The sequence below is a fragment of the Homo sapiens genome, chromosome 20, assembly GCF_000001405.40.
Source record: "Homo sapiens chromosome 20, GRCh38.p14 Primary Assembly".
NCBI classification, from domain to species: domain Eukaryota; kingdom Metazoa; phylum Chordata; class Mammalia; order Primates; family Hominidae; genus Homo; species Homo sapiens.
Genome location: NC_000020.11, coordinates 51,116,534 through 51,143,022, shown reverse-complemented (window position 1 = coordinate 51,143,022; position 26,489 = coordinate 51,116,534). Strand labels below are relative to the sequence as shown.

The window sequence follows — 26,489 nt, the reverse complement described above, 5'->3', positions numbered from 1 at the left end:
CCAAAGTGCTGGGATTACAGGCATGAGCCACCGCGCCTGGCCAGCATGGGCTCTTGAACCTTCCTAAAGGGATATCTAATACTCACCAACAGTGGGGCAAGTAGTCCCACTTCCAAAACCTTCCTAGATTGCCTGACATGAAGGCCACTGATTGGTTCATTACAAATTTGCTGCAAAAACGTAAGGCCTGCATAGGCCACTGCCATGAGAAGGCAGCCCATAGGTGACGGAAAGCCAATGGTCCTGCCTGTCACATTTGCCTGAGATGAATGGCTTTCATTTCCCCAAGCCACCGAGACATCATCACCCACAGCACCTCTGCCCGAGTTTAATTTCACATCATGCAGCTTTCACAAATGAGTGACTGTGGGCAGTGTTTATCGAGGAAATCTTTTTGTAGCCACCAAACCTGTGGAACCACTTTCTTCTTTAATTTCCGTCCCGTACTTCCTGCAGAAACAAATAAGATTGAATTAGGGAGCCACTCTGGGAAGGCAGGAAATAATGTATGTATCCAAACCAAGAAACATCCCATCCATTATGTAAGTGAGAGGGGCTGAGAAGAGTGAGGAAAAAGTTGTAAAATGGCAGCCCGAGGGCCCACACTGGTCGGCATAAGTGTTTTGTTTGGATCACGCAGTGTTTTGTTGTTTTGCTTTTTAATGTTAAAAATATGTAAAAATTCAGAGATTTAACATAAAAATCCAGCTGTCAGGCTTCTCCTGGAAAAATCAGATCTGAACACACTGGGCCGACAATATGGCAACAACCAGATGGAACCAAATGACTGGGGCACAGGCTCTGCAGTTTGCCTCAATCCCTACCCCTGCTTTGCTCATGTGTGTTTCCCATGGAGTAACCAACTCATCTTGGGTTGGCCCCAGGTGGTTCTGGCCTTAACACTGAAAGTCTCATGTCCTGGGAGCCCTCTCGGTCCCAGATGAACTGAGACGGTCAGTTATCTTGGATGCCAACCTGGCCCCGATAAACATAGTGGACAATATTCATACTGTATGCATCTCCTGCTAAGCACAGCTCTAAGCATTGTAAGTGGGTTAACTTATTTAATCCTTGCAGCAACTCTATGAGGCAGGTACTATGTCATCCCAGTTTTACAGGTGAGAAACTGAGGCACAGTCAGCTGAAGTATATGTAGCCTAGAGGACTCAGCTATAAGTTGGGACTTCAGTCTCTTTCCCTGGGTGGGGTCTAATCCAGGGAGTCAGGGCATCTTATTTTAGGTCCATGCAAGAGGAGGAAACTGACTGATCTGCTTCTAATCTGCTTATCACCATGGCCCTCTTGGTGGCAGAGGTGGTTCCTACCCACTCAACATGTGGTCCCTCCTCTTCTTGCTTAAGATTACAGGGCCTCAATTTTGTCCTGGGCCCATCATGTACAGGGAAGGTGAGCCCCTCCCCAACCCAACCCAAAAGAATGACACTAGATGGTCCCCAGCATAGTCATTTTACTCCCCTTAGCTTGGTTTGATTGGTTTAAGATTTATGGCCCTGTTCTGAACAAGGAGACATTAAGAGGAGATGTGGTGAGGTTTTTGTTCCTTGGAAGGTTTGCACTCCCTGATAAAAGTAGCAATAGGGAGGAGACCTTCTCCTATATTCTGCCTTGAATGAGGTTGTTTAAGGATGGGATGCTCGGAGCTGTGGCAGCCATTCTGTGACCAAGGCACAAACCTAAGGATGAAAAGTCAACAGATTCAGCAGGGTGGGCCCGAGGGACAGAAAGAGCTTTGGTCCTTGGTGACACAGTGAAGCCACCAAGCCAACCCTGGAGTAACCCACCTCCAAACTCCTTTACTGATTGCTTAGGTCACTGTTAGTTCATTACATTGTAACTTGCAGCTAAACATATCCTAACTGATATGCCGTGGGACCCTTGAGAACACCTTTGCTTTTCCTATAAAGTCTAGAGCAGCCCATGCCCTATTTTCCTTCTGTCTGAGCCCTCCCCTGATCCTGTAGGGACTTCCAAGGTTTAGGAGGCACCTCCCAAGCATGAGGCACACACAGGCCCAGTCTCACCATGTCGGCCACATGGAAGTGAACAAAACAGAGAAATATCAATTGGCTGAGGAGCCAGAAGCTCACCTTGTGGAAAAGAGCCGGGTCAAGAGAAGGGGCGTGTTTCTCCCAGTGTATTCGGCAAGTAATGGAGTGAGCACTAGTGAGGGTGAGACCTGTCCCTGCAACGATTCCTTCCCATCTCCTCCAAGTGCTCTCCCCCACCATAGCCTCTGCAGGTCCTGGCTTTGACATTCACTCGCCGTGTGACTTTAATGGGGTCCTTTGCCTTTCTGTGTGTCAGTTTTCCCATCTTTAAAATGGAGATAATAATAATGTCATCCTTGTAGTGTTGTGTGGTAATTGAACAAAATGATAACTGTAACATTTTCTCCAAGGTGCCTGCCACATAGGCGCATTCTGTAAATGTTTGTGATTATCTTTATTATGGAGGTGGGGAGATGGAGTAAGTGAGAAGGAGTTAGGCACCAGCATTCCCATTTTGTGGGTAAGGAACCTAAAACTTTGAGGGGTTAAAACGGATTGTCCTCAAGTCACCCAAATAATAGGTAAATAACTAAATTTGAATTTAAACCTGGATCTATCCCATTCCAAAATCTGCTCTAGAAAGGAGAGTATTATTTTGAAGCAGGTACTAAAGGCAAGGAAAAAACCAAATATTTCTATTCACATTTGGGATACTTTCAATAAAGAAAAGCAAAGAGGTTTTCTGGATGGCAGGCTAACCTATTTTTACTGAGACCTTTAATTAAAGACAATTACCCTTGGTGATAGAATGGCTGATCTCAGCTCTCAAGAAAATTACCCCAAATGGCAAATGGAATTAAATATCCACTCAGTTACTGACAGATGCTCTCCGAAGCAATAGAACCATAGGACTTGATTACAATGACAAGAATAGGGTCTGGGCCCCAGATTGGAGGAGAACAAAATCCACTTTCAAACAATTCTCCAATGATTTCAATTAACCGTGGGCTAAACCAGGCAGTTAGTTGTATAAGCATAGATCTCTTTGTGGTTCAAATTAAATTTCGTCTAGTACAAATGCTGCTTTGAGATTTTTGGAGAGAAAACACAATACTCAGGAAATGAATTTGGATCTCGTCTGCGTGTGTTGTGTAATTAGAGATCAGGTGGGCTCTCCCTATTCCCCAGGGCATGTTTAAGTTATTTTGTTTGATGATAATTATTTATAATTATTATTAGCAACATCCTCATAATACTCCCATTCCTACTTACCTGTCCAATTCCCATCTACCGTAAAAGAATCAGCAAACTCTAGGCTCTGAGCCAAATCCGGCCAATGCTCATTTTTTCGTAAATACATTTTTTAGAGCACTGCCATATTCATTCCATTTACTTATTGCCTCGGGCTGCTTTCCTGCTGCAAGGGTAGAGCTGAATCGTGGGGTAAGTCGCAACAGAAACTGTAGGTAGCCAGCTAAGGTGAAAATTTCTTTCAGGCCCTTTAAGAAAACATGGCTCATGCCTGTAATCCCAGCACTTTGGGAGGCCGAGGCAGGCAGATCATCGGAGGTCAGGAATTTGAGACCAGCCTGGCCAACATGGTGAAACCCCGTCTCCACTAACAATACAAAAATTAGCCGGGCGTGGTGGCATGGGCCTGTAATCCCAGCTGCTCAGGAGGCTGAGGCAGGAGAATTGCTTGAACCAGGGAGGCGGAGATTGCAGTGAGCTGAGATCGTGCCACTGCACTCCAGCCTGGGTAACAGAGTGAGACCCCATCTCAAAACAAAAAAACAAAAAAACAAAAAAAAGTACAAACCCCTGCAGAGAGTAGAGAGGAAGACTTTCTGAAGGAAAGTCCACGCTCAGAAGTTCAGACTTTGCCCAGAAGGTGATAGGGAGCCCCTGGAAGGTTAGAAGGAGGGGAAACACAGCCCCTGCAGCAGATGCCATCAGTGCCTCATCCTGTCCCCTGGTCATCTCCTCTGCGAGGATAAGGTCACCTACTGCAAACGCCTGTGAGCATGCAAGCCCTGCCCTGTCCATGCTCACATTAGTGATCCAGGGGCTCTAACGTCCCCAGAGCCCAGGCTCAGGAGTCAGCTAAACCTGTATTCAAATTCCAGCTTCTCACATGTCCTACTGAGTGACCTTAAGCAAGTTGCTAAACTTTTCTGTGGCTAGAGAGATGGGCAGGCCAACTTTTCAGGGCCTTGGGGGACATGTGAGGAGAAACAGGCAGCACAGATGTTAAGTTCGATTTGTGCTTGTTTAAAAGACAAGGAGGAGGACAGGCACAGTGGCTCACATTCAAAATCCCAGAACTTCGGGAGGCCAAGGCAGGAAGATTGCTTGAGCCCAGGAGTTCAGGACAAACCTGGGCAATGTAGTGAGATCCTGTCTCTACAAAAAATTAACAATTAGCTGGGCATGGCGATGTGTGCCTGTGGTCCCAGCTACTTGGGAGGCTGAAGCAGGAGGATCACAGCTGCAGTGAGCTGTGGTCATGCCACTGCACTCCAGCTAGCCTGGGTGACAGAGCCAGACGCTTTTTTTTTTTTTTTTTTTTTTTTTTTTTTTTTTTTTTTTGAGACAGAGTCTGGCTCTGTTGCCTAGGCTGGAGTGCAGTGGCACAATCTCGGCTCACTGCAAGCTCCACCTCCCGGGTTCATGCCATTCTTCTGCTTCAGCCTCCCAAGTAGCTGGGACTACAGGTGCCCACCACCACGCCCGGCTAATTTTTTGTATTTTTAGTAGAGACGGGGTTTCACCATGTTAGCCAGGATGGTCTCAATCTCCTGACCTCGTGATCCGCCCGCCTCAGCCTCCCAAAGTGCTGGGATTACAGGCGTGAGCCACTGCGCCCGGCCAGACACTTTCTTGGAGAAGAAGCAGAAGAAAGAAGAAAAAGAAAGGAGGAAGAGGAAAGAAAACAATAAAGAAAAAAAAAACTGTTGTAAGAAAACAGTATAACTCCTGATAGTGTCCCCTGTCCAACACAGTGGCCAGCTCAGAGAACGGAAGTCTGTGTCTCATCTTTCCTCTGGGATTTGAATAAAGTCAGTTCCACCTGCTTAAGATCCTAGAAAATGGGGGCCATTTTTATTATGTTTTGATTTCAGCAAATTACCACTTTCCTCAGGAAAGTCCACCAAAATAATGGACAGGAAGTTGTAGAAATTCAGGAGAGAGACCAATTTTGCTCGAATGACAGCAAACCACATTTGAATTTGAGCTAATTTAATTCTCTGCTCCAGTTCAATATTTCCAGCGAAGATTTTGAGAAACAAATTAGATTTTCAGTAATGAAGATGCATTTCAATACATGCCACAGCTGGGCAGATTCAACTTGTTGCACCAAAGGCGCTATTTCCTGGCCACATTGAAGAGTAAAATCTGAAACTCACAGTTTAAATGAAGCCAGGAAAGAAAATAGACCCTTTAGCACTAGGCAGGATGGAGAAGGTTTTAGCCAGGCCCTTGAACTACTTCATTCACAGTATCTTACTGTGCTGGAAGAAATAATGACCCAGCTCTCAGGAATATAGACAGTTTGAGCTGGAACAGTTTTTAGAGGTTACCTAGAGCAACTAAGATTCCATAAAACAAGAACCATAAGATTTTTTTTGTTTTTTTTTTTTTTTTTTTATAAAACACGGCCAAGCACGGTGGCTCACGCCTGTAATCCCAGCACTTTGGGAGGCCGAGGTGGGCGGATCACAAGGTCAGGAGATCGAGACCAACCTGGCCAACATGGTGAAACCCCGTCTCTACTAAAAATACAAAAATTAGCCGGACGTAGTGGCACGTGCCTGTAATCCCAGCTACTCAGGAGGCTGAGGCATGAGAATTGCTAGAACCAGGGAGTCGGAGATTGCAGTGAGCCGAGATGGCGCCACTGCACTCCAGCCTGGCAACAGAGCGAGACTCTGTCTCAAAAAAAAAAAACCCCAAAGAAACAATATTTTGCTCTGTTGCCGAGGCTGGAGTGCAGTGGTGGTGGTGCAATCATAACTTACTGCAGCCTTGACCTCCTGTCCTCAAGTGATCATCTTGCCTCAGCCTCCCGAGTAGCCGAGATTATAGGCACACACCACCATGCTCAGCTAACTTTTCAGTTTTTAGTAGAGACGAGTTCTCGCTATATTGCCCAGGCTGGTCTCGAGCTCCAGGACTCAAGTGATCCTACAGCCTCAGCCTCCTAAAGTGCTGGGATTATAGGCACGAGCCACCACGCCCAGCCCACCATGAGATGTTTCTAAGAGTACAAGAGCCCAGCAATTAGTAACAAAATCTTTAAATCCACCTATTGAGAAAGATATTCCCTTTTCAATTCATCTTTCCCATTACATCAATGAAGGAGTCTCTGTTTGGTGTTACTAGTTCTTTAACACTTCCTTTTGAAACAATAGGCCTTAGGTCAGTGGCCACACTGCCCGGCTAGAATTTTCCTTATAGATCAGGAGTCAGCAAATACTTCCTGCAAAGGGCCAGAGAGAGACTATTTCAGACTCTGTATGCCGCGTGGTCTCTGTCACAATTAAAGGCAAAGGCAGCCATAGATAAAAAGTCATAAAGTTTATAGACAAAAAGTCATAAAGTTTATAGACAAAATGTCATAAAGTATGAGTGTGGTTGTGTTGCAATACACCTTTATTTATGGGTACTGAAATTTGAAGTATTCTTCACATATCATGAAATATTATTCTTCCTTTGATTTTCTTCCCAACCATTTAAAAATGAAAACATCTTTCTTACCTTGGGAACAGCAGAGAAACAGGTGGCGAGCTGGATCTGGCCATGGCCATAATTTATAGACTTTGTTGTAGAGTAGAGTGGTGGCCAGAGAAGAGGAGTTCACGGTGCTCGTCACCAGCTTGGACTCTGGAATTCCAACTCCTCAGTTTATCACTTCTGTGACCCCTGAGAGTTGCCTTGCTTCTTTGAGCTTCAGCCTTCCCCTCTGTAAAGTGGGAATAATAACAGCACCTGCCTCAGCAGGTTGTTATGAGCATGAAGTGAGTGCTTAGAACATTACATGGATGCAGTGTTAAATCGATATTAGCTCTTGTTATTGTTTATTTTTACTTTTACTTTCTCTTTAGAGCAAGCAATACTGATTTTTCAACCATGGTGATAATATAATTTCCTTTTTACCTAAACTTATTTAGGTAAAAAGTCAATTTAAAGGGAAATATCATTTGAATGCAAATAATCTTATGCAAATAGGGCAAAAATTATAAATGGAACACTCAAATGACCAAAGGTTCAGAAATACTTTGCCAGTTCCTTACCTTCACTATACAAGGTTGAGAAATAAATATTAATGATCAGACAGAGTCTTCATATAAAAGGAGAATTAGCCCAGGTGCGGTGGTTCACACCTGTCCTCTCAGCCCTTTAAGAGGCCAAGGCAGGCAGATCGCCTGAGCTCAGGAGTTTGAGACCACCCTGGGCAACATGGTGAAACCCTGTCTCTACTAAAATACAAACAATTAGCCAGGCGTGATGGTGGACACCTGTAATCCCAGTTACTCGAGAGGCTGAGGCAGGAGAATTGCTTGAGCCCTGGAGGCAGAGGTTACAGTGAGCCGAGATGGCACCACTGCACTCCAGCTTGGGCTACATACAGAGTGAGACTCTGTCTCAAAAAAATTTTTTTTAATAAAATAAATAAATTTAAAAAATAAATAAAAGAGAATTCGAGTACATTCCCTTGTCTGTGACTTTTAACTGTTAGAGTCATGTGTGTACATTGTCTTCCCGTCCCTGCTATACCACGAGCTCCTAGAAGGAAGGGACACATGGCTTCTGAACCCCTAATCCTCAGATGTGGAACATAGCCCACAGACAATGACCACTGATCGTTGTTTTTTGAATTGAGGTAAGATGTATTATTCCATCTCAACTGAGAACTAAAAATAAAATCCTAAGCCCCCCAACCAACTGAATGGACCCCCTCTTGGCCAAGAGAACCTCAGAGAAACCATAAAAACTGAGTTCTGGGCCAACACGGGACAGGAGGTCAGACTCACCCTGTTATAAACCCCTTCCCTTTTGTGGCTCAGACACAATAACTGACCAACACTAATGTGAACATAGAGATCATAAGACTGATAGAATGGACTCTTTGTGGCAATAAGATACCAAATTTTAAACAGGATCTAAGGCCATGCCAAACAAGGGTTAAGTCACACATCCCCATCCTTAAAGAAACTACTGTTGTCAGGTAACGACCACAAGGTTTCTCTTTTTCTCTAGCATCTAAACAAGCACTGACCTCAAGATCAGCAACACTAAACAATTGCAACTTACGCCTTATGCTGACTAACTGCCCCCTGTTCCACAAGCCACATCTTCAGCTTTAATGGGACAGAAACTGATTTCATTAACTTCCTCCTGATAAGAGACTGACAGCCGTAAACAGGTTCTGGCCAGTTTATAGAGGCTGCACACTGAGTGCCTTCACGGCCCTGCTTCACCTTTTGACCTATAGAGCCTAACTAGAATGCATTTAAACAATGTCTCCTTCCCAAAGAGAACACAGGCCACACGTAACACACGTTTGTTCCTGCATACATCAGAACCCCTTTCATGAATATTCATAGCTCCTCCTGTAACCCATTGAATATATCTACTTGGCCAACCCATTCATGAATTCCTGTCTCATCTTTCCCTCCCTCAAAGTGCCTACTAACGGCCTCCTCCAGAGGCGATGCTTCCCATTCTGGCAGAATGGCCACCTTCCAGGCTATAATCCTTTATAAGAAATAGTCTCCCTTCTAAATTTATAAATTTGTGATTTTTTTTTCAGTTGACACAACACATATGAACTTTCAAGTTGCTTCCAGCCTGCCAAAAGACTAGGAGTCCGATTTCTTGATTCATTCATTTCACAAACACTTAAGAACCCCAGCCAGGAGCAAGCTCTGCTCAGAGAACCCTGAGACAAGGAATAAATAGCCATTGCTCCTGGTCTTTGATGGTTGGCTCTGAATTCTTTGATCATGCATTCCTAACTTTAAAAACTGCTAAACACTCACCTTTAATATGTATCAATTATTAATATGTATTCATTATTATTTATTATTATGGTATTATATAATAATAATTATGTTATTATATAGTCATAACTTTTTCCTTTTTTTTGGAGACAGAGTCTCAGTCTGTCTCCCAGGCTGGAGTGCAGTGGCATGATCTTGGCTTACTGCAACCTCTGCCTCCTGGGTTCAAGCAATTCTCCTGCCTCAGTCTCCTGAGTAGCTGGAATTACAGGGATCTACCACCACACCCAGCTAATTTTTGTATTTTTAGTAGAGATGGGGTTTCACTATCTTGGCCAAGCTGGTCTTGAATTCCTGACCTCAAAGTGACCCCACCTCAGCCTCCCAAAATGCTGGGATTACAGGTGTGAGCCACTGCACCCAGCCATATAGTCATAATTACACATAATAATATATTTTATTACAAGATATAAAATATAATTATAAAATATAACATCTGTTATTATAATTAACAACATAGTATTTATTAATTAGGAATAAAAAGGAAGAAATGACCATAGCTCCTGAGCTGCCCCTGGTGTGATGAACCAGGAGCAGCTCAGAAGCAATGATCATTCCTTTTTATTCCTAATTAATAATTGAATTATTAATTATATATGTATTTATTTATAAATTGCATGTGAATACCACCTTTTTTTTCTTGACACAGAGTCTCTCTCTGAAGCCCAGGCTGGAGTGCAATGGCACGATCTCGGCTCACTGCAACCTCCGCCTCTTGGGTTCAAGCGATTCTCCTGCCTCAGCCTCCCAAGTAGCTAGCTGGGATTACAGGTGTCTGCCACCAGGCCTAGCTAATTTTTGTATTTTTACTAGAGATGGGGTTTCACCATGTTGGCCAGCTGGTCTTGAACTCTTGACCTCAAGTGCTCCACTTGCCTCAGCCTCCCAAAGTGCTAGAATTACAGGCGAGAGCCACTGTGCCCGGCTGTGGATACCACTTTTCCAGTCTATCCCGCACATTATAAAACAGGCAAAAGACTGTGAAACCAAAGTTCTAAGGTCCCCAGCACTGCTACTGTCTTTCCACACACCCCAATTTGAACAGGACCCTGGGTGTGGCGGAGGCCAAGCTGACACCTGCACACAGTCATAACGCAGGGGTAAGACCCCGGTCAAAGTGTGACTGTGTTTGCTGGATGGGGAAAATGGGCCAAGGTTGGGGACATCTGTGACAGAGACCTGAAGCTGAGCTGGAGCTGAGATAGAAGTAGACTTAGGGAGGCAGAAAGTCCAGAAGGAACAGTCCCTCCCAAGCCGGGTCCCCGTGGTTTCAAGCTCTCTTCCTCCTGCCACCTTCACAGCTCGGGAATTGGAGGGGGAGGAGGGAAGAGGCAGGGAGAGCTGAGATGCCCTTTATCCCGGCACATTATCTTAGCATGGCCGGAATAACTCCCCCCATCATGAAACTGGCCATGGGGGTTTTCTTATTTCCCTCCTTGTGTTCAAGGAAGCATGCACGTTGCAGCAAAACTTCCTGCTGTCTTTCTGGCAAGGAGCCTAGCTTCATCATCACTGAGCACTGCCCTTTGGTGCCTGTGCAGAACACGACAATAAAGCCTGACAGTGGGATTAGGATTCTGCAGACCCTCGACAGCAGGTCTGTGGGGCTTGGGAGCCTTCCAGGGGCCCTGCCTGTTACAGAAGCTGGGCACGCTGCTCCATAGATATTTGTCTAGTGAATGAATGCAGGCACAGATGAATGAATGGAGGAATATTTGCTCAAGTCCTAGCTCTGCTATTTTCAGAACAAAAACACTAATAGAGTGGGAGCTAGATTGCATTATTTCCAATTCTTACAACTGTACAGCAGAAATTATTTTAGCCCTGTGAATACTGGGACTGAGAGGAGAGAGGTCTGCCAGCATCCCACCTGCTAGGAAAGCGGCAGAGCTGCTGCAAGGCCCCAGGTTGCCTGATCCTGAGCCAGCTTCTCATCCCCTTTGCCAATGGCTTCAATGTGGGGACTGAAGGGGATGCCACTGGCTAGGTCAACCCAATCATCTGACTCTCAGATATCACCTCCCATACCTCTGCCATCTGTTTACCCACAAGCTACTGGAATACTTCCAGGGATGGGGCTCCCATTTTTACCTGTGGAAAGCTAGAAGATTTTTCTTAATTTGGGGTGGACATTGGTCCCCTGTGATGCTGTGATGCTGTCCCAAGGAGTCCATCCTCGGGAGTTTTAGAAAACAAGTCTACTCGCTTTCCCTGCTACCCACAGAGGGGTCCATACAGTGTGGTTCTGGATTCCCGTCATAACTTAAAGGGAAACTTTCACAATGTCCACAGCCCTTGATGTCCTGCAAATGAAAGAGGAGGATGTCCTTAAGTTCCTTGCAGCAGGAACCCACTTAGGTGGCACCGACCTTGACTTCCGAATGGAACAGCACATCTGTAAGAGGAAAAGTGGTGGCATCTACATCATAAATCTAAAGAGGAGCTGGGAGAAGCTTCTGCTGGTGGCTCCTGCCATCGTTGCCATTGAAAACCCTGCTGATGTCAGTGTCATATCCTCCAGTAGCACTGGCCAGAGGGCCATGCTGAAGTGTGCTGCTGCCACTGGAGCCACTCCTATTGCTGGCCACTTCACTCCTGGAACCTTCACTAACCAGATCCAGGCAACATTCCCGAATCCACGGGTTCTTGTGGTTACTGATTGCAGGACCGGCCACCAGCCTCTCGCAGAGGCATCTTATGTTATAACCTACCTACCATTGCTCTGTGTCACACAGATTCTCCTCTGCACCATGTGGACATTGCCATCCCATGCAACAGGAAGCTCACTCAGTGGACTTGATGTGGATGCTGGCCCGGGAAATTCTGCCCATGCAGCGGCACAATTGCCCGCAAACACTGGTGGGAGGTCATGCCTGATCTCTACTTCTACAGCGATCCTGAAGAGATTGAAAAAGAAGAGCAGGCTGCTGCTGACAAGGCTTTGACCAAGGAGGAATTTCAGGGTGAATGAACACTGCTCCAGCTCCTGAGTTCACTGCTACTTGGCCTGAGGTTGCAGACTGGTCTGACAGTGTGCAGGTGCCCTCTGGGCCTATTCAGCAGTTCCCTACCCAAGACTGGAGTGCTCAGCCTGCCACGGAAGACTGGTCTGCAGCTCCCCCTGCTCAGGCCACCGAATGGGTAGGACCAACCACTGAATGGCCTTACACTGTTCTTGCACAGGCTCTTAAACAACATGGAAATAAGGTTGACAGAAAATAAACATCGGTTTCTAAAAATTTTTTTAAAAAGGAAAGGAAAACCAGTCCACTCTTTTAGATATGTGGATTAACGTGTGTGTGTGTGTGTTTAGAGAGGTAGATAGTGCTAGCATTCAATATTGATAGAATATTTATATATAATTAAGATTTATTAGGTGCTTATCATGTGCCAAGTACTTTACAGAAATTATCCCACTTAATCCTCACAACACAACTGTGAAGTAAGTATCATCCGACCCCCTTCTTCAGATGAGGACACCAAGGTTCAGAGAGCTTGCACCACCTGCCCAGAGCCCCACAGACAATTCCTGTCTGAGCAGAAGCTACACCGAGGCCCACAGTAACCCCAGCACCCTCCTTTCAGCTGCCATGCCACCCTCTTGCAGGCCTTACTAGCCTGGTCCCTCGCCTCTAAAGACAGTCCATTTGTGTTATTCAAGTAATCACTTTCCCTTTTACAAATGTTAGAAAGCACAGGATTCATCCATAACCCCATCACCCAAAGATAACTATTGTTAATATTTCCATGCATTTTTCACATCTAGATATAGACAGTTTGGGTTTTTTTTTTTTTTACAAAAATGAGCTCATACTATACATATTATTTTGTAACCTATATTTTCTACTCAATTATATATCTGGAACATCCTTCCATAACATAAAAGCCAGCATCATTTTATGACTGCCTGGAATTTCATTCTATGGATATACCAAAATATATTTAACTACTCACCTCTCATTGCGCATTTAATTTTCTCCAAATATAAATCCTCCAACACATATCCTGGCACATGGATCTTTGTGCGTATATCCCAGTATTTCGTAGGTTATTGCCTGTAAGGAAAATTGTTTGAGTCCAAGGTTATGCTCACTCAAAGGTGTTGCTACAGAATCCTGGCACCCCTCACCAGTGTAGGAGAGGGCTTGTCTCTCCACCCTCTAGCCCACAGAGCTGTCATCTTTCTTAACCTTGGCCAATCTAAAAATTATAATAAAATGGCCAGGGAAAATTATAGTAAAATGACATCTTGTTTTCATGCACTTATCTTTTATTACCAGTGAGGCTAAATTTATTCCAATATCAGACAGTTTCAGTCCATCTTAGGCATATTACATCAATTACTATGGTGTCCCTAAGAGCACAAAATACCCCAGGGGGGGTTCAAACCAGCATAGATTTCAGAGGCATCTGCTCAACGGGTCTCAGCTAAGTGGTTAACGGTCCCCACAGGGTGCTGCCCAGCCACCAGGGCCTAAAATGTGCTCAGACTCCAGACATGGAACAAGACTGTCTGGTTAATAGCACATGTGGCCCAGCCACCCCAGTGTGGCATTTACAGCTCTCTGGTTTCTGTCAATGCTGCCCCTGCTAAACTACATGGCTGTCTAGTCTGCACTAAGTGCAAAGCTGGCTCCTGTGCGGGGCACCTCACCCACGCCCACAGGAAAGGCTGCCTTGATTTGAACCTCTCCTTGGGGCCTGCAGGGCGGGGTGCCTGTGTGTAAACACACGTGTGGCTTTTTGTTCTCCTTCCTGCCGATTATTTTAAAGCTAGGAGTTAAGTAAGATTCAGCTTGGTGATCAATTCACTCATGATGCTGCCTAACCTGTTGCTGTTTTATAAACTCAGGAAATTCTTCTCATTGATGGGTCTCAGTGTTGAGGGTGTGACAGGCCAGCCCCCTCCCACAATGCTGTGCATGCCTGGAGGAGGGGATGTGGCGTGGCAACCTCAGCTGTGTCCCGATGACCAGCATCCCTCCCCCTTTCTCAGGGGAACTGCACCTCTATTCTTCTTGCCCAAGTCCATCCACGACCCGCTTCCTATGCCCTACCACCAGCCTATGGAACAGGCGGAGTTCCAGACCCCGGTTCAAGTTCCCCACTGCCAGGTGCCAGATGAGTTATCTTCTCAGAGCCTCAGTTTGCTCATCAGTAAAATGTGGACAATAAGAATACCTACCTCCTAATGTGGTTGTGAAGGTAAAACAAGAGTACCTCCATTAACATCATCTTGGAAATGACAGCATGTAGAGCTGATTTCGTTTTTATTTTACAAATACTGATTGTATGGCCAGTTGGATTCCATTGTAATCATGCTTCAAATATAAGCGAGGCATAGGAAAACTTACAGAGAAATTATAATTATTGGATCTGGCTGCCCCCAGGACTTTCTGTGGCTTCGGGTATGGGCCCTGATGCAAGATACATGATCACTAATATTTGCTGACTTGAATTGAGCTAAGGTGGTCAAAGCCAGTGTTTATGAACCGCTGAGTTCCTTTCAGCTTGCAATAGCTCAGTGGTGCATGACTCAGTGGCTGCAGCACGTCTTTTATTCACTCATTCAGGAAGCACTGATGAGCTCAGATGTCAAGTCTTGCGCTGGGGAAGGCCCAAGAAGAGCAAAAAAGGGCACTGTTGTTGAGCTGTTTATCATCCAGAGGAGAACAAACACCCACATATACTACTGTCCAAAGCCAGTGGCCAGAACATATATGATGATACACTCTGACCTGCACCCTCTGCAGCAGTCAGCCCAAGATGGTCAGGATTTGGCCGATGACTGCCAGCTTCCCAAATCAACCCTTGGGTTCCCTTTCACAGTCCTCTCATAGCACATGCTTCCATAAAGGTATCACTGCTAATGGTGAGATCGCGAGGCAAATCCAGAGGAGATGCTCTAACCACTGAGCTGTGCTGCCTGGCCTGGGAGGAATGAAGAAAGAGAAGAAGGAAAATGAAAGGAGAGAAGAAGAAACCTAAGTCCTAAACACAGAGTGACACATTCTCTCCCACAAAGGTTATGAACAAGCCACATCTTCCTTACACTAAAATTAACTCATTCTAGCCTGTCAAGCTTCAGTGTGTTTGAATCACCTAGGAGGCTCGTTAAACACTTGGATCCTGGGACCAACCCTTAGAGGTCCTGAAACCGACAGTCTGGGCTTGGGCCTGGGAATCTGCAATTTTACCCTAAGTTCTCAAAGTCCTTGAACCTCAAAGCATGGTCTTCAAACAGCATCTTGGCTATCACCTCCGATAGTCGCTGCACCTGCCAATGCAAACTCCCAGGCCTGCCCTTCAACCTATTAAATCGGAATGTGTACTTAAAGGAGATCTCTAGGTGTTTTATGTGCACATTAAAGTTTGAGAAGCCCTGCTTTTGGTGATTCTCATTTAAGAAGTCCAAATACCACTTGGAGCTTAATAAATAATACTAACAATGAACTAGGCAGTATTTGGAGTGCTTAACGCGTAATAATTCATTTATGAGTCAAAAGAATTCTATGAGGTAGAGTCGTTTATTATCCCATTTTACAGATGAGGAAAATAAGGCACAGAAAGCTGAAGTAACTTGCCAAAGTCTCAAAGCTGGCACGTATGAAGGATGAGGTTGAAACCCAAGCTGACCAGCACCTGCCGCTCCCACTTGCCTGCTGAATTCACCTGGAAATTGACAAGCCCTGCATCATCCTGGCTGCCTTCCTGGGCCCTGACTTCTCAAACAAGGCGATCAGCAGCTCTTCAAAATCAACAAGAGCTGCACTGCTCTATTGTCCTGTGGCCGAATAACACATGCAAATTACATTGATTCTCTGGGAAGAAAATGGCTGTGTGGGTCTGGGCAAAGTTATTACATTTTCAAACTCAACCAGTTTAGAAAAAATAATTGTGCATACACAAAGACATGCTAGGGGCTCAAATGAGCCCTGCAATTAAATCAATTCATTGCCTCAAATCTGCACTGGATATTAGGTTGGTGCAAAAGTAATGGCAGGAAGAAAAGCTAGGGAAGAAACTTAAGAAAATTGCAAGGAAGAGAAAATATATTTACTATTCATCAAATGGAAGTGGATCGTTAAAAAGATCTTCACCCTCTCTTCATGTTGAACAGGCTGACTAGGAGGAGAAAAGGGAAGGGTTGGTCCTGCTGTCTGAGCAGTGGCAGAGGCAGAGGAGGTGGAAGGAAGGCAGGTGAGGCAGGCACACTGAGTGTAACTTGTGTTGAAAAATATCCTTGTATAAGTGGACCCATGCAGTGACTTAATATATTCCATAAGGTTCTGGGGCAAAAATGATGGCAAAGCAGGTAAAGAGCCACTCATAGTGTCTTCCACCCAGAAGAACTTGTTTGGAGACTTTTGTGCCCTCTGTCCTCTGGACTGAAACTATTTTATAAAACCAAGCTATGTTCTCTGAACTTAAAATGTCAAAACATTAAGAAAACCTGTACAGCAGGACTGATTGCTTCAGTGTGCCTCGCCTCTGCCTGTAAGCGCCCTTCTCTCCAGGACGTTGCTTGTATTTGGTGGCTCTGTTCTCCCACCATTGCTGCAACTGAGTTATTGGGTAGTCATGTTCCCAAGTGAGATCAGGCAAGGCTGGAAAAGGCAAACTCAGCAGCGGAAGCTTCGGGGCTTTCTGATGGATTTTTAAGGATATGAGGACTTCAGAACCTTGGAAGGTTTTTGGTTTGGTTTTGTTTTTCCAGTTCCATGAAACAAGAAAGACAACGACAATCAACGGAGATGGCACGCATGCAGCCAGGAACAGAACGGACTGAGTCCCAAGGCTAGAAAAGGATCTCCCCTTGATCAAAAAGGATTCTGTGTTTGTACATTTCAGCAGAGAGCCAGCTCCACTTCCAAAAGACAGAGAGTGACAAAATGGGCCTCTGAGCAGCCCTGGGCCTACCCATCAAGGCTGAAATCCATTTGTCTTGGGTTTTGGCAAGGCACTCTGGCAAAAGCAGCGGCCAGGCAGCCAGAAACACAAACCAGAAGACCATGCTTTGAGACAGGCTTCAGAGGGGCCGACTGAGCTCTAGCGCAATGTTTAATAAAAGATAAAGAGCTCATTGCAGTACTATTTATAATAGCAACAAAAACTTGGATGATCAGCATAAGATTGGCTAAATACATTTGTCTATATCTCTACAGTGAAAATTAGATTTTCAAAGAATATCTAACAACTTAGAGAAATACTTATTCAGTTGACACTTGAACCATGCAGGAGTCAGAGACACTGATCCCCACGCAGTCAAAAATTTTCACAGAACTCTGGACTTCCCCAAAACATTAACTAATAGCCTAATACTGACTAACACCTTACTAATAGCCGAGTAATACATATTTTTGTATGTTGTGTGTGTTATATGCTATATTCTTACAATAAAGTAAGTTAGAGAAAAGAAACTGTTATTAAGAAAATCATGAGGAAGAGAAAATATATTTACTATTCATCAAAGGGAAGTGGATCACTATAAAGATCTTTATCCTCTTTTCATGTCGAACAGGCTGACAAGGAGGAGAAAAGGGAGAGGTTGGTCTTGCTGTCTTGGGGGTGGCAGAGGCAGAAGATGGGGAGGAGGTGGAAGGGAAAGCAGGCAAGGCAGGCACGCTGGGTGTCACTTGTACTGAAAAAACTCCTTCTATAAGTGGACCCGCGCACTTCAAACCCATGTTGTTCAAAGTTCAAATGTCATATAATGTTAAGTGAAAAAAAAAAAAAGCAGGACCCACAGCACAAAACTATTCTGTACAGAGATAGATAGATACATAGATATAGATATAGATTGTTTTTTTTTTTTTGAGACGGAGTTTCACTCTTGTTGCCCAGGCTAGAGTGCAATGGCGCGATCTTGGCTCACCACAACCTCTGCCTCCCAGGTTCAAGCGATTCTCCTGCCTGAGCCTCCTGAGTAGCTGGGATTACAGCCATGTGCCACAACGCCCAGCCAATTTTGTATTTTTAGTAGAGATGGGGTTCCTCCATGTTGATCAGGCTGGTATCAAACTCCTGACCTCAGGTGATCTGCCTGCCTCTGCCTGTCAAAGTGCTGGAATTACAGGCATGAGCCACCATGCCTGGCCAGATACAGATATATTTTTAAGGAAAAATACTGGAAGAGTAATCAGCAAACGTTAAAAATGTGAGTAGATTTTCTTTCTTTCTCGTATCTATCTGCATTTTCTAATTTTCCATAATATACATACATTCTTCTTATAGACAGAATAAAAGGAATTTATAATTCTTATCATTATAAACCAAAAATACATTGCTGATATTGTTTCCTGATACAGTAAATATAATAACAGTTACCATTTATCGAGCACTTAGTATGTACTTTAGATAGATGATTCTATTTTACAGTTACAATAACCACAAGAAACAGGTACTATTATTATCTGTATTTGCTTATGGGAAAAGAAGCATTTACCATTCAAAAGTTAAATGTCTTGCCTGCAGCTCAGTTACCACTTAAGGGACAGAGCTGGGTTCCAAGGAGGATGTCTGTGGTGTTAATGTCCATGCTATTAACTCTGAAGTAGCCCCAGAAAGTGAGACCCAGGTAGGGTTGCCAGATAAACTGCAGAACACTCAGGTAAATTTGAATTTCAGGTACACAATAAGTAATTTTTTTTTTTTACTGTATCATGCAATGTTATTCATTGTGTAGCTACATTTCTAATTTAACTAGGCATCCTGTTGGTTAGTTGGTTGGTTTTTTAATTAGAGAAATGACTTATTTCACAAATTGCTATAGGAAGGGGTTGAAAGTAACATAGCAGACCAACAGTTTTAGGAGAAGTCAGGTTCAGGCCCCAAAGCTAGCTAGCTATTTATTTATTTATTTATTTATTTATTTATTTATTTATTTAAGACAGAGTTTCACTCTTGTTGTCCAGGCTGCAGTGCAATGGCATGATCTCGACTCACTGCAACTTCCACCTCCCAAGTTCAAGTGATTCTGCTACCTCAGCCTCCCAAGTAGCTGGGATTACAGACATGCACCACCATGCCCAGCTAATTTTGTATTTTTTGTAGAGATGAGGTTTCTCCATGTTGGCCAGGCTGGTCTCGAACTCCCAACTTCAGGTGATCCGCCTGCCTCAGCCTCCCAAAGTGCTGGGATTACAGACGTAAGCCACCATGCCTGGCCTCTTTCAATAAGATCTGGGAACAGTCAGCCCCCAGACAAGCACAGAGAAAATATCTATATGTCTTGGGTTCCCTTTTGTTACACCCTCCTATGAAGGAGAGGGAGCTTTCGCTAATACAAATTGGATGCCTGGAGCAGACAGCCCCATAAAAGTGAGGGATGCTTGTGATTTGAAGACTCCACCAAGCAATATTGCTGAGCACTTGAAAGCCACACTCCAGGCATGCCCACACTGGGTGGTAACAGATTTCCGAGTCTCCTCTATGAAGTGACTTGTCTGGCTTTGCTGTCAGTAGTCAGAGTAAGAAGTGCCTCACAGCCCCCATCCTCAAGTCCTAGCCCCAGTCCTGGGGCTCACTGTGACAACCACACAGTCTTTCACATCCAAACTTAGACCATTTGGCTGGTCTATTAGGATCATCTAGGGAGTTTTAAAAAATACTGATACCTGGGCCTTTCCCCAAAAATTCTGATTTATTTGGCTGGCCGGTGGTGGGAAGTGTGGGTATTTTACAGCAACTCCCCAAGTAATTCTAATGCCCAGGCAAGGGTTAAACATCACCGCACTGAATCAACCACAATAAACCAGGTGCTGGGATACCCATGACAGGGGAGAATGTCACATTCATCTGTCAAACTGAAATACGAAAGTAAACCTCACCGGGTTGCTAAAAGGATTAAATGAGCGGCTCAGTACATGCCCTGCACAGAAAATACTTGGCAAGTGTTATTTCTTTCCCAGAATCAAACACACTCACTGACATTTATTGAGCCTTTTTTTTTCACCCAGACTTATGTTATCTCATTTAGTCCTCAAAACAGTTCTATAAGGTAGAGATCATCATCGTCTCATTTGTAAGATGAGAAAACTGAGTCAAACAAAGGTGACCTCATTCCCAAGGTCATCAGCTAATAATAGTGGAGCCAGGACTTGAACCCAGGGCCTTTGACTCAGAACCCCACGCTCTCAGTCCCTTCCCTGTATTGTCTTCTTGCTGACAGAGCCCTGTAGGGCAGATGAAGCCACCTACACACCACCTCCCAGCCTTTGCCCTGACCGTTCCTTTGCCTTGAATGGCAATCTCTTCTCTGCCTCTGCAAATTATAACCTGCCGAGGAAACATCCCGCTCCTTCTGGGCTCTTGCAGACCTCACGGTGAGTGCTCAGTCATCCATTCATTTATTCTTTCTCTGACTAAGCAAACATCTATTGAGCACCTACTGTGTGCCAGACACTGCGCTAGACACTGGATATAAACACTAGAGAGTCTTTGTTGGGCCTGCCATTCCGGGATGGAGACCAAAAATAAACAAAACAAACAAATGTATAACTGCACATTGCAGAGATTGCTCTAAAGGGAACTGGGAGCTTTAGCCTGACCGTGAGCACAGAAAACCATGGGGTGGTTTTAAGCAGAGGGTTGGTGTGACCAAACTTGTTTTTCTGGCTGCTGTATGGAGGATGGATTGGCTCAGGGGTGAGGGTAGAGGCAGGGAGGCCAGAGAGGAGGCTAAGGGAAGAATCCAGGTGAGACGGGAAGAGGACTGGCTCAGTGTGGAGGTGGCCTGAGAAAGAGGATGGACATCTTCCAGAGAAGCAGCTTGCTGCCCATCAGATGGGGTGGTGGGGGGGTCATTGCCACTTGCTCTAGCCCTTATGACAGACATTCTGCAGCATTTTTTACTGTGGCTTGTTTCATGACTGTATACATTGCCTCTGGAGTAATGTTCTGAATATTTAACCATCGGTGTCATGAGGGAGAGGCCAGTATTGACTAAATCAGAACAAACTGTGACTCCAGCTTTGGGCAGCATCCCCTGCTGGGCTAGGCATTAACCCTTTAGTTGCTGGATATCAGTGAGGTCCAAGGGATCCCAGGTGAACAGCCTGGGTGGAGGCAGAGGACTCTGGGGGTTTAGGATGACACTATTTGTCAGCAATATTAAAACCAAACAGCACATGCCCCCTCAGGATGCCTCCCTACTCGATTTTAAACTTCTAGGAAGCAAGGCTAGACTTAAGAAAATCAATTAGCTAGAAATTTGTCCAACAGGTATCCCATCCCTTGCAAAGACCTGGACTTCCCTGGGAAGATGTCCAGGCTGACATTTCAATTTTGCATTTCTGCAAAGAGATGCAGAGTCCTCCAGAATCAACCCCTGAGCCTATGAGGGCTACATGTTCTGTGAGCCCAGGACTCAGGAAGAGAACGTGTTATCTGCGGGGGATTGCTGCTGGCAGCCCTGGAGAGACTGTTCTGTGCTAGGGCACACCGCCTCAAGGATGCGGGGATCTTGGCAGACAGTCCTGGGGAGCCCAGCCAGGAGGACACAGCGGGAGGCAGAGTGAGCCGAGCCACTCCTCCCCAGGGTTTGTCCTGAACTTTGTCATCTTGAAATTCTGACATTTTTAATGGTGGAAAGAAATTTTAAAAGATCATGATTAAGAACAAAGAAGCAAAGAAATCTATGTGAGTGAGCACAGTTTGTTCTGGAAGGCTTTCCCTTTGCACATTCAGGTTCTCAGTTCTCCACCTGCAAAGGGGTTAGATTTGCTTTTTGTGCTCTTTGTACTTTAGAAGGATGTTCTGAAGATTGATGAGGGCCTATTAATAGCCACCATGTTAATGGTTCCCTCCCCTCTTCCTCGCCTTCCCTCACTTCCTTCCAGAGATGTTCTACTGATTTAGATAATGGAACATGCAGGCACATTGTGGAGTCTGAACTCTTCTAGCAGCCTCGTTACTATCTGCCTTCATCTTGACATCCTGGGGTGGGGCTGTTATTGTCATCTTACGGGGGCTGAGAGAGGAGTATGACCAGCTGTGGCCATGCTGCTGGTGAGAGGCAGATCTGGAAATGGAACCCAGACCTCTCTGACTCCCCAGTCCAAGTTTTGGGCTGGCTATAGATGGTCCCTAGCTCCCCCTCCCATGAGAAAGTCCATTTTAAAAAGGAAGATGCCCTAGAATTTAAAACCATGGTCAGTCTAAACTGCTTAGAAACGAAGCATGGAAGGAAAGCAAGCATGAAGTCTGGACATGCACCAGCCTGGTTTTGAATCCCCTTTTCCCACTCACCAGCTGTGTGACCTCAGGCAGAGTGTTTAACCTCTCTGGTCTCAATGCCTAGTGAAGGAACAAGGATGCTCTGGCTTTGAAGGCCATAGAAAGACAGCCCCACAGCCTAAAGGTTTCAGAAAAACAGAAAAGCCCAGTGGCTGACGTGAAGAAACTGCAACAGCTTTGGTCAGTCCCGGAGTCCAGCCTAGTTTGGTAGCCTAGTAGCTGTGGGGCTTTGGACAAGGTGCATAACCACTCTGTGCCTGTTTCCTCATCTGTAAAATGGGGACAATCACAGCCCTTGCTGTAAAGGGTGGGCATGAGAATCAAATGTGATCATTCACACCAAATCCCACCATCAGGCTGGTTCTGGGTGTCCATCCTCAAGGATGAAATAAGGTCTAGGCTGCCTGCAAAGGCCTCCAAGCATTTTGGCCATTGCAGCAACTTTATATTGCCACAGCCATCAGGATACCAGACAGTGGCGCCCTTGGTCCCTGACCTTGAGCGGTGGTTAAGAGCAAGGACTTGGAGTCAGATGTTCAGTTCCAACTCTGGCTCTGCTGCCTTCTGGCCCATGACCTTGGGCAAGTAATTAGCTTCTCTGTGCCTTAGTTTTCCCAGCCATAATATTAGTACATACCTCCCAGGGTTGCTATCAGAAGTAAACAAATGAGTATATGTAAATGCCTTGGAACAGTGCCTGGCATATAAAAAATTCCATCAAGGTCTTTCCTGGTATTATTGTTTTTCTCCTCACTTCACATGTTGGTAATCTCCAAAAGAACCAGCTATCTCTGCCGTGGGAAGATGCTCTCTGGACCGCCTGACATTGCCACTAATGACCGAGGACCCCAGCTGGATCTGAAATATCCATCTCCTCTCACCCCTCAGAGCCACCGCAAGCTTGGACTGTGACCTGCTGGGTTCCAGAGAGGGCAAGTCTTCCTCCAGTAGAAGTCCGTGGCTCCATGTCAGTGGTTCTAAGAGGCTTCTTCCAAAGGCTACATTTCTTCTCATAACTATCCCAGTGCGGGCTCTCTAGGCCTGCCTATTATATATAAATACACTTAACTTTTATGGGGGTATGCAGTGCTCTCGGCATAAACCATCTCCTCTGTCCCAAAGGACTAGGGGAAGGGCTGGAACATGGAGCATGTGCACATGTGACAACACCAGGACAGATTCTGAGACCCAGATGATTGGAACCTACACCACAAGGTATCACCCTAGAGACATAAAACATCACTGAAGTCTTTCAATCTCCCCCCACTGCATGTGTGCAATTTGGGCGTGATCCTCCCAGCATGGATCAGCGCATCCCATCTCTCTCATCCTCCTCTGCCACCACTGTGCTTATTAGACCACTGGGGAGGCCTCCTGGCTCCCGGTCCTGCTTCTGTTCTGGCACCTCCTTCACTCTGTGCTGCACACAAGCTGCGCGGGTGATATGGTACAGCAGAACCCCACTGGTCACGGCCTTGCCCCAAAGGCTCCTGAGGCCCTTAGAGCTGCTCTTACAGCCAGCCCAGCAGGGCCCTCCTAGGCGTCTGACTCTCTCTTTCAACCTTAATGGGTAACTTGATCTCAGTCATCAATGGTTAGATGCATGTATTTTGTTTCTGGTTTGCAGATGAAGTAGCAACTGAAGCCATCAGTTCATTCATTCATTGATTCATTCAGTCAACAAATATTCATTGAGGGCCCACTATGCATCAGGCTGTGTCCCCGATGTTCAGGGGACAGTGGTCAGCAAGACAAAGTCCCTGGCCTGGGCCAGTTGCCAGGCCGTAGGGACGTGCAGAAGCACAGCAGCCGGGCCTCAAGAGGGCCCGAGCTTGCTTTAAGGCTCTGCTGTGGCTGTCTGGAAACTCTTAACTGTTTTTAGACAAGGACCCTGATTTTCATCCTGCGCTGGGTCCCACAGATTGTATAGCTGCTCTGTCCCTGCCCTCAGGGAGCTCACATTCCACTGGGAGACAACGGACACTCAGTGAATCTTAAACATCAAGCCGCAGAGGAGAAGTGCTGTGAAGAAAGTGAACCAAGGTGGTATGTGCCAACCAGTGAGGGTGGCCTGGCCAAGGCTGTCAGGGAAGGCTTCCCTGAGCGGGTGCCTAGAGGGAGCCAGGCAGCCAGGCAGTGGTGGGAGGTGGGTGGGGAGAACCTTCCAGGCAGGAGGAGAAGAGCAAGGGCTGAGTCCCTAGGGCAGGAGGGTGTTTGCTAAGCTGAAGGGACAGGGAGGAGTCAGTGTGGCTGCAGCTTGGAGAGTGAGTGAGAAGGCACTGACCTAAGCAAAGCAGGGGGCCATTCAGTGCAGCTTGAGGGGAGGATCCAGAACCCCTACCCACCAGCTCATGGTCTGACCTTGCCCAGATTCACTGCAAGGCCTGAGGCTGGTCCTGAAACCCAGATCCTCCCCAGCGGGATCTCTGCAATGAGAAGGGCTGGCTGGACAATGTTCACCATCCCTTCCAGCTGCAGCCAAGTTGGGACAGCCCTGGGGGGTTTCTCTTGTCCACATGCTATGGATACAATGCTGGGGTGGAGGGGGCAGCCACCATATCTTCCCATGCTGGGGTTGAGGGGTTCCCAGCTCCCCAGCACAGCCCTCAGCTTTCAGGGAGCTTGTCTACTCTTTCTGAGAATCTGCTACCACTTTTTGCAGACCCCAAATGTGAGTTCCAGCCACATCATTCCCCCCACTTCTCTCATTCAAGAACCATGTTCCTGATACTGCCTTATCCTTACACTATTGTGCTGTTATTTACTTCAGGGTCAGGAATCGGATTAGGACTTTTTCTTAAATGATCTTATTTTAAAGGGAAACATTGTACCATTGCTATGTAATACTTGCCATAAATACAAAGTAACCATGAAATAAACATTCTGCAATATCCATGTTATCAAATTCTAGCTAGATAGCATCCTAGCCTCAGGCGTGCTCTGTCTTTGTTTAAAATGGAAATTTGCAAGTGCTAGAAATGGCTTAAAGGAGTTAAGGACTCTAGAAGCAAACAGAGACTTTCTCCTAAATAAGAAGAAAGTCTGAGAGAGAATGAAAAAAGGACCATTTCACCCCGTGACTCAATTTTGTTTAACATCATGTATGAGTATATCTTAAAATTATCTTCCTAACAAAACCAAACAAAACCTAAACCCAAACAAAATGAAACAAAGCCCAAGCCTGTCTGACTTAAGGAAAGACAAGAGGCTGTAAAGAAGTGAACAGGGAGCTCACCGAGACTCCGAGACTCCCGGAGGGCCAGAGACTCAGGGGTGGGGCTCAAAGCATCTTGCAGAACTGGCCCAGGGAAGGTTCCTGGAAGCTCGTGCTGGGCACAGGTGTCACCACCACCATCAGGACTGCTCACCAGCCTCTGACAGCAGAACTGCTGCCATTGCCACCACCCCTAGAAACAGAATGTAGCTGCTGCAACCCCTCACTACAAGTGTGCTCCCAACTTCTTTTTTTTTTTTTTTTTTTTTTTTTGAGACAATTGTCTTGATTTGTAGCCCAGGCTGGAGTGCAGTGATGTAATCATGGCTCACTGCAGCCTGGATCTCCTGTGCTCAATGAATCCTCCCACCTCAGCTTCCCAAGTAGCTGGGACTACAGGCGTGAGCCATCACTTGGGCTAATCGTTGTGTTTTCTATAGAGACAGGGTTTTGCCATGTTGCCCAGGCTCCACCTTCTTTATGTTACTAGCTTCTAATTCAAAATCTGAGTGCTTCATCTGATTGGCAGGACTGGGATCATGTGACTGTCCTCTAGCTGCAAAGCTGGCTGGGAAAACGAGTGACATTTTCAGCTTCTATCATGAGAGGTAGATTTTTGTCTCAAAATATGGGAGATTCCCCAGGCATGGGAAGGGAGGTTGAATACCCAAATGTCAGAAAAAAAATGAGAGACGACCATTACATGCACCACCTGTGCCAAACAGAGTTAACACAGCAAACCCGGCCACCATCCTTTGGAAGGCAAGAAAAAGTCCCTATGAGGTTGACCCTTGGCTAGAGTCTGGGAACTCAGATTTCATGAGGGTCCTACCCACCGTTAACTGGTAAGAGTGGCTTCTGTGCCTAAAATACCTATACAAAGAATAGTGTTTGTGATGAACACCTGAGCTCCTTCTGGGAGTCTGGAATTTTGGTACCTGCCAGGCTGAGGTTGCCACATGATCT

General features: G+C 45.7%; 2 long non-coding RNA genes and 1 pseudogene across 5 annotated transcripts, besides 2 other annotated features; 2 read left to right on the top strand and 1 right to left on the bottom strand.

Annotated features, from left to right (window-relative positions):
- LOC105372661 (uncharacterized) lies at window positions 1–25,633 on the bottom strand. 4 transcript variants are annotated; one of them, XR_007067649.1, is made up of 4 exons: window positions 25,545–25,633; window positions 13,028–13,128; window positions 6,768–6,998; window positions 1–450 (listed from the first exon to the last, which is right to left on the bottom strand). It is a non-coding gene; the product is annotated as an uncharacterized LOC105372661 (long non-coding RNA). The 4 variants fall into 4 exon arrangements; XR_001754665.2 differs by lacking the exon at window positions 25,545–25,633 and adding an exon at window positions 2,109–2,334 and having other exon boundaries at window positions 13,028–13,314; XR_936845.3 differs by lacking the exon at window positions 25,545–25,633 and having other exon boundaries at window positions 13,028–13,314.
- On the top strand, window positions 11,280–12,319 carry RPSAP1 (ribosomal protein SA pseudogene 1; annotated as a pseudogene).
- Window positions 18,147–23,381, top strand: LOC105372662 (uncharacterized). The gene is made up of 3 exons (XR_001754668.2): window positions 18,147–18,230; window positions 20,244–20,397; window positions 23,089–23,381. It is a non-coding gene; the product is annotated as an uncharacterized LOC105372662 (long non-coding RNA).
- Window positions 21,548–22,053: an enhancer, noted in NCBI's record as "H3K4me1 hESC enhancer chr20:49737507-49738012 (GRCh37/hg19 assembly coordinates)". NCBI's record gives its function as "activates a minimal SCP1, AML or CMV promoter by ChIP-STARR-seq in primed H9 embryonic stem cells {active_cell/tissue: H9 hESC(primed)}" and the evidence as "EXISTENCE:reporter gene assay evidence [ECO:0000049][PMID:30033119]".
- Window positions 23,235–24,070: an enhancer, noted in NCBI's record as "OCT4-NANOG-H3K4me1 hESC enhancer chr20:49735490-49736325 (GRCh37/hg19 assembly coordinates)". NCBI's record gives its function as "activates a minimal SCP1, AML or CMV promoter by ChIP-STARR-seq in naive and primed H9 embryonic stem cells {active_cell/tissue: H9 hESC(naive and primed)}" and the evidence as "EXISTENCE:reporter gene assay evidence [ECO:0000049][PMID:30033119]".
- Window positions 25,634–26,489: the final 856 nt, after the last annotated feature.